The sequence below is a fragment of the Homo sapiens genome, chromosome 19, assembly GCF_000001405.40.
Source record: "Homo sapiens chromosome 19, GRCh38.p14 Primary Assembly".
Classification (NCBI taxonomy): Eukaryota; Metazoa; Chordata; class Mammalia; order Primates; family Hominidae; genus Homo; species Homo sapiens.
Genome location: NC_000019.10, coordinates 52,140,183 through 52,147,760, shown reverse-complemented (window position 1 = coordinate 52,147,760; position 7,578 = coordinate 52,140,183). Strand labels below are relative to the sequence as shown.

At 42.6% G+C, this 7,578-nt stretch overlaps 1 pseudogene, besides 1 other annotated feature; it reads right to left on the bottom strand.

Annotated features, from left to right (window-relative positions):
• On the bottom strand, nt 4,375-4,755 carry RPL37P23 (ribosomal protein L37 pseudogene 23; annotated as a pseudogene).
• Nucleotides 7,528-7,577: a silencer, noted in NCBI's record as "silent region_10992". NCBI's record gives its function as "represses an Ori minimal core promoter by ATAC-STARR-seq in GM12878 lymphoblastoid cells {active_cell/tissue: GM12878}" and the evidence as "EXISTENCE:reporter gene assay evidence [ECO:0000049][PMID:35858748]".

The window sequence follows — 7,578 nt, the reverse complement described above, 5'->3', positions numbered from 1 at the left end:
TTCTCCCACCTCAGCCTCCCGAGTAGCTGGGGTTACAGGTGCCCAACACCATGCCTGGCTAATTTTTGTAGTTTTAGTAGAGATGGGGTTTCACCATGTTGACCAGGCTGGTCTTGAACTCCTGACCTCAGGTGATCCACCTGCCTCAGCCTCCCAAAGTGCTGGGATTACAGGCATGAGCCACCATGCCTGGCCTATTTTACCAATACTTTTAAAGCTAACTTATTAAAGATTTTACTTAAGTCATGTGAACTTGAGAAACATTTTGGCTTATTATTTAATTTACGAGGACTCTTTAAGCCAATTTAGCGCCTTGTGTCCAAAACACAACAAAATACGTATACAAACACATTAGCACACACATACATTCTCATATAACCAAAGATCATGTAGCTTTTACTTCAGAACTTTAATCATGAGGTATTAGTAGAAACTCATTGGTTTTCAAAAAGAAATTGCAAACAGTGGATTTTATCTCATTAGAAAAGTAGCAGTGGACTTCAAGCAGGCAGAAAAGAAAGCAGAGAGAGAACTTGGGAACTTTACAGTTGCAGGCTGACCTTTGGGCTCTGAATTTTCCTTCATGTACTTCTGCACAAAAAGACCATATAAGTTCATGTCACACAAACACTTGCAAGAAGAGGTGCCATAAAACCAAAGGAGTGCCTGAAAGGGGCGTCATTCTTCTGGTTTTCTCCTCGTTCTTAGATTATTTGGTTCCCACTTTTTTTGTTTGTTTGTTTCCTTAAAAGGAGAAAAGGAGATGTGGCCTAGGGTTTTGTGGAGTAGGTCAAAGTATGTGCTGCTTGCAAAAGAGACTCCGCAGTGTGTTACCACTGAGTCACTGCCGCCCTCCTATGTGTCTCAGTTTCTCCTCCGGAGGTCTAAGCACCTCCAGGAGGGCTCAAAGCACAAGTTACTAGCACCCATATGCACCTCCTGGATTAGTCTTTTTAAAACTAATTTTGTGGGGGTTCTCTGTAGAGCCACTACACATCACGGTGGGTCAACTTCCCAGATACTCCCATGAGGCCCCCGGTCACCTAGGGGTGCCTATCAGCTGCAAGGAGCAAAATGCTCTTTCTGTTCGAAGCTGAGGATACTCAGTCACTCATTTACCTATGAAAACAACAATTTGGATCCTCATGTAAATGTGAACAGACAGGCCAAACTGAAATTGATTTTGAGAGAAAAAGCAGTAGAGAAGACCCCTTTAAAATGCATCTGTGTACTAGAAGAAGGATTCTTTTTTTTTTTTTTGAGACAGAGTCTCTCTCTGTTGCCCAGGCTGGAGTGCAGTGGCACAATGTCAGTTCACTGCAACCTCGGCCTCCTAGGTTCAAGCAATTCTCTGTCTCAGCCTCCTGAGTAGCTGGGATTACAGGTGCCCGCCACCATGCCCGGCTACTTTTTGTATTTTTAATAGAGACAGAGTTCACCATCTTGGCCAGGCTGGTCTTGAACTCCTGATCTTGTGATCCACCTGCCTCAGCCTCCCAGTGTGCTGGGATTACGGGCTTCAGCCACCAGCCAGGCCACTAGTCTTTTTTAAACAGGTAGGTCTTGAGTGTACTAAGACTAAGAACTCACTCATTATCATGGAGAAAGCACCAAGCCATTCAGAAGAGACCCAACCCCATTACCCAAGCACCTTTCACTCGGCCCACCTTCAACAATTTGGGTCATATTTCAACATGAGATTTGGAGGAAACACATATCACTGTTCCTTACCACCAGATACCAGCAACACCACCAATTGTGACAATCAAAAATGTCTCCAGACATGTGCAAACGTTTCCTGGAGAGGGGGCATCATTCTTGGAAATACCACCTGCCAGTATAGAGATCAAGAAAGCAGAAGGTGCTTGGGCCGGGTGTGGTGGCTCACGCCTGTAATCCCAGCACTTTGGGAGTCTGAGGTGGGTGAATCACGAGGTCAGGAGTTCAATACCAACCTGGCCAAGATGGTGAAACCCTGTCTCTACTAAAAATACAAAAAAATTAGCCAGGCGTGGTGGCAGGCACCTGCAATCCCAGCTATTCAGGAAGCTGAGGCAGAGAATTGCTTGAAACCAAGAGGTGGAGGTTGCAGTGAGCTGAGATCATGCCACTGCACTCCAGCCTGGGTGACAGAGTGAGACTTCATCTCAAAACAAAACAAAACAAACAAAAAGAAAGCAGAAGGTGCTAATGTGCCATATGGCTTTCAACTGCACTTGACACAATATTTTGTAAATTCTTCAAAAATGAGTTAGCTGATTTTCAAGCAATGTTTAAGTCTGCAGCAGTAGCTCATCTGCAACTGATAAAACTCACATTTGAGAAGTGGTTTGAGGGGCAACAGCAAGTTAAAATTATAACAAAGTCCAAGTCAAGGCCATAGCCCTAACGTTCTTTGAAATAACCTGCCAGTTGATTAAGGTAACTCTTGTGAAATTGTTTTTTGAGAGTGGATGAAATGGCAAGTGTAGTAAATAGAAACTAGACTGTGGCCCAAGAAGTTCAAAAGCACTGGAATAAAATTCTGAAACTAAGGAAGGGTTCCTAAAACTCGTGGGTATAGCTAAAGTCATGGGTTTAGCTTTGAAAATGTCTCTATTTTGAAATGGCATCAGATAAAATGCTATCTTTTGTTATACTTTTCATAATGTTATACTTTTGAGACTTCTATCAGTCCATAGTATTTTATAAAAACAAAATTAAATTTAGACTTATAATAGTCTTTGGGATGGTACATTGAAGTGGAAAAGAAGTAGCTGGGGAAAGATGCTTACTGCAGAAGGAGGGCATACTTTCTGATACTGCATGAGGGATGTCATCGGGTGAAGTTAAGAACGACAAAATATAGTGGACTGGAAACCTATTCTCAGGAGAACTGTAGCCATGAAAAGTACTGTTATTCATTCCTGACCTCCTGGAACCAGGCCCTAACTCATCTTCTCAGCAAAATTGCACATTTGCTATGGACCTACTGGGTAGTACCTTCTTTGTTTCCCTTTTCTGAATGTGAGGGTTAATTCAGGTTTTATTTTTCTGTTCCACCATGAAATGTCGTGAGTGACGAGGACTCTATTGGGCTCTCAGTGAACAGAAGTGTCATGAGACTGTCATGAGATCCTTGCTTGCAACTGAAAGTTATGTTTGGGCTTTTTTTTTTAAAAAAAAATGTTAGAGGAAGTGGAGGTGAATATTTTGTGTGGGCAAAAGAGGAACAAATTATTTCTGATGGAAGCTGCGCTGTCACATATTGTAATATTTCGAGACAGGGTCTCGCTCAGTCACCCAGGCTGGAGTGCAGTGGTGCGATCTCAGCTCACTGCAACCTCCACCTCCTGGACTCAGGTGATCCTCTTCTCTCAGCCTCCCAAGTAGCTGGGACTACAGGTGCACACCAGCATACCTAGCTAATTTTTGGATTTTTTTGTAGAGATGGGGTTTCGCCATGTTGCCCAGACTGGGAGAAACATATTTTAAGGTATAATTAGCATGTTGTGTTGTTAAAATCTCAGTGATAAACTTGCATATTAGCAACAGAGCTCTTGTTTCCACATTATACAATTTCAGTTTATTTTCTTGTATCATTCCAATGCTTTCCCTGAACTTAAAATAAAAGGGATCCTCCACATATTGGTGGAACACATTCTTTGCATCTGTTATTTTTCTATTCTTTTTTTGCCACACAAATCTGAGAATGTCACCTCGATTTTTGGATCCTTCAAGTTCTTCAATGGAAGAAATGTAAGTCCATAAATTGGGTTAAATGGTTTCTAGTGGAGTGTGTAATGATAAAAAATTATTTTTAAAATGTAGTTTTGGCTGGGCTCTGTGGCTCATGCCTGTATTCCTAGCACTTTGGGAGGCTGAGGTGGACAGATTGAGCCCAGAAGTTTGAGACCGGCCTAGGCAACATTATAAAACCCCATCTCTACTAAAAACACAAAAACTGAGGTGAGAGGATCACTTGAGCCTGGGGAGGTGGAGGCTGCATGAGCCGTGATTGCACCACCACACTGCAGCCTGGGCAAGAGAGCAAGATCCCATCTCAAAAAAAATTATATTACAGTTGAAAAATCATAGAATACAATGTTTAATATGATAACTCAAATATGCATTGTTAGAGCCTTTGAAAAATGCAATTTTATTAAATTATTTAATATTTATTGTCTGATAAATTTAATTTTTATAGTGCATGTGTAAAAATATTATAGACAATTTGAACAGTATTTCAGAAGCACTTTCAACAATTATATTGTGTAAAGTGTCCTATGTATGCATGAATAAAGGACATGTATAAAGTATTTAGCATGAGGAAAATTGAGTCTTTCTCAACCTAGGCATCATAAGTTTCAGGAGTAAACATTCAGTATTTTTTTTTGTATTTTTTAAAACCAGAACATTTATTGCATGACTAATCATAGACATTCTTAAGATGAACTGGATGCTGCAACAGCTGCCCTCTTGGGTTTAAGTATTGTTCCTTCATAGAATCCATGCCTGAATCTGTGGTATACAATTTTTAGGTGCCTCATTCCACCAGTTCCGGTGGTATTTTGTCTTTTAGCCTTGGCACTCCAGTTATACTTTCTCTTGCGCTTGGCAGCGTAGCCACATTTGCCACAGGTCGACTTCTGAAGGTGGTAGGCCTTAGAGCCACGGCGGCAACACAACGTGTGCGTCTTATTGCGACGCTTTCCAAACAATGACGTTCCCTTCGTCATCTGGCTTCTGCGGCCAAGACCAGAGAGACCGGAAGAGAAGGCACTTCCGCTATATCACGCTCAGAAGCTCAACATTCCGTGTTGAATTAGAGTCTGAGCCGAGATGGCATTACTGCACTACTGCTTGGGTGACCGGAGCCAGACACTGCCTCAAAAAAAAAAATTCTCCCAGGCTCAAGCAATTTCCAACCTCAGCCTTCCAACTAGCTTGGACTACTGGTGCACACCATTACCCTTGGCTAATTTTTGTATTTTTTGTAGAGATAGAGTTTTGTAATGTTGCCCAGGTTGCTCTTGAACTCCTGGGTTCAAGCAATCTGCCCACCTCAGCCTCTCTCAATGTGCTGGGATTACAGGCGTGAGCCACTGCACCCTGCCTTGTTCCTTTACTTGCTTAGTAAACTTGCTTTCACTTTACAGTGTGAACTCACCCCTAATTCTTTCTTGCATGAGATCCAAGAACCCTCCCTTTTGGTTGTAACTGCCCAACAGGTTCTCCTTCCCTGCTGCCTAGACAGAGCTGATTCATCAAGACAGGGGAATTGCAAGAGAGAGTTTAATTCATGTGGAGCTGGCTGTACAGGAACCTGAAATTTTTTTATTACTCACATGAGTCTCCCTGAAAACTCGGGGATCAGGGTTTTTAAGGATAATTTGATAGGTAGGTGTCAGTGAGTCGGGAGTGCTGATTGGTTGGGTAGGAGACGAAATCATAGAGATCTGAAGCTGTCATTTTGCACTGAGTCAGTTCCTGGGTGGGGTCACAAGACCAGATGAGCCAGTTTATGGATCTGGGTTGGTGTCAGGTGATCCATCAAGTGCAGGGAATGCAAAATATCTCAAGCACTGATCTTAGGTTTTATAATAGTAATGTTATCCCCAGGAACAATCTGGGAAGGGTGAGAATCTTGTAGCCTCCAGCTACATGACTCCTAAACCATCATCTCTCACCTTGTGCCTAATTTGTTAGTCTTACAAAGGCAGTCTAGTCCCCAAGCAGGAAGGGGGTTTGTTTTGGGAAAGGGCTGTTAATGTCTTTGTTTCAAACTATAAACTAAGTTCCTTCCAAAGTTAGTTCAGCCTATGCCCAGGAATGAACAAGAGCAGCTTGGAGGTTAAAAGCAAGATGGAGTTGATTAGGTCAGATCTCTTTCACTGTAATAATTTTCTCAGTTATAATTGTGCAATGGAAGTTTCAGGTTCTGGATCAGGACCCCTTTCTGGTAACACAAGGATGGTTATGAATGCATCCAGATATCCAAAAAGTTATCTCTGAAAGCCAGAGATTTCCTTTCCCTATGGGTTCTTCCCTTGCATGTCAACCCAAGGATTCACTGGGGACCTAGAATTGTGCAGGGCAGTTAGGAAGAGAGAGACAAAAGAGAGAAGAGGTGAAGTAGTTTTGAAGAAGAGAAAGAAGGTCCCATGCAGCCTCAGTTTTTTTTCCAACAAACTTTTCATGCTGGGAAATAGGATCCTGGTTTATTTGTGGGAGGGATTTTATAGGAGGGTGAGAAAAAAATGCCCTTTGAGGGTAGAGTCTGTGGAGCCCTAATTGGGGAAAAGGAGTCAGCCTGAAAGGACCAGGAGAAAGCAAAGAGATAAAGCAAATAAGCTATAAATCTTTCTTCATGGTCCAGAACATATAAAAAAAAATAGAGGAAGCAGATAAGCTGTAGGTCTCTTTTTCTTTATGGCCAAGGACATATGGCCTTTCTGTGGAAAGAACGTAAATAAGTCACAAACTTTCTGCTTTCATTTATCATCAAACGCCTCAGCTAACAGAAGAATGCAAGTTAGCTCCCTGCTACCTTGGCCTCCCAAAGTGTGGGGATTATAGGCGTTAGCCACTGCACCCAACCAAATCTCCTCTTCTCATGGCTCACTGCAGCCTTCACCTCCTGGGCTCAAATGATCCTCCTTCCTTACCCTTCCGAGTTGCTGGGCCCACACGTGCAGGCCACCATGTCCAGATAATTTAATTTTTTGTAGAGAGGTCTGGCTATGTTGCCCAGGATGATCTCAAATCCCTGGCCTCAAGCAATTCTGACACCTCAGCTTCCCAAGTAGCTGGGACTACAAGAGTGCATTACCAAGCCTGGCTACTTTTTGTATTTCTTGTAGAGATGGGGGTCTCACGATGCTGTCCAGGCTGGTTTTGAACTCTTGAGCTCAAGTGACCTGCCCACCTGGGCCTCCAAAACTGCTGGCCCATCTCAAAAGACTTAATCCATTTCAGTATCAACTCTCAAAAGTCTTAATCCATTCCTGTATCAGCTCTTAGGGCAGAATACCCCCTAAATATTATCTGAACCACACATGGGTGAGAATCAAGGTGTGATTCATCCTGAGGCAAAATTTCTGCCCAGCTGTGAATCTGTGAGGCCAGAGAAGTTATCTGCTTCCAAAATATAATGGTGATAAAGGCATAGGATACATCCCCCAGCCCTGGTAACCACCCTTCTAATCTGTTACTGTAAATTTGACGTTTGTACTTTGCACGTGTAAAAGCACAGGCAGTATTTGTCTTTCTGTGTCTAGCATATTTCGCTTGGCATAATGTCTTCCGGGTTCCTGGATCCAGCCACGGCTCCACATCAAATCCCCAGCGAGATCCTAGTTCCCTGACTATTGAGTAGCTTCAGCATCATCGGCAAGAGTGGATGGAGTCCACCAAGCTTGTAAAAATCGGTTTTGACTTAGTTCAACTTGTTAAGAAATCATCTTAGTTTCTAATATAAGTGGACCACAACTTTAAGCTTTAACCTTAAATTTTGAAACATTAACTTAAAATAGGCAGGCAGCAACGCTGCTTCACAGGACAAGAAGTAGTCAGAAAACCAAAGACATGCTGCCTGTG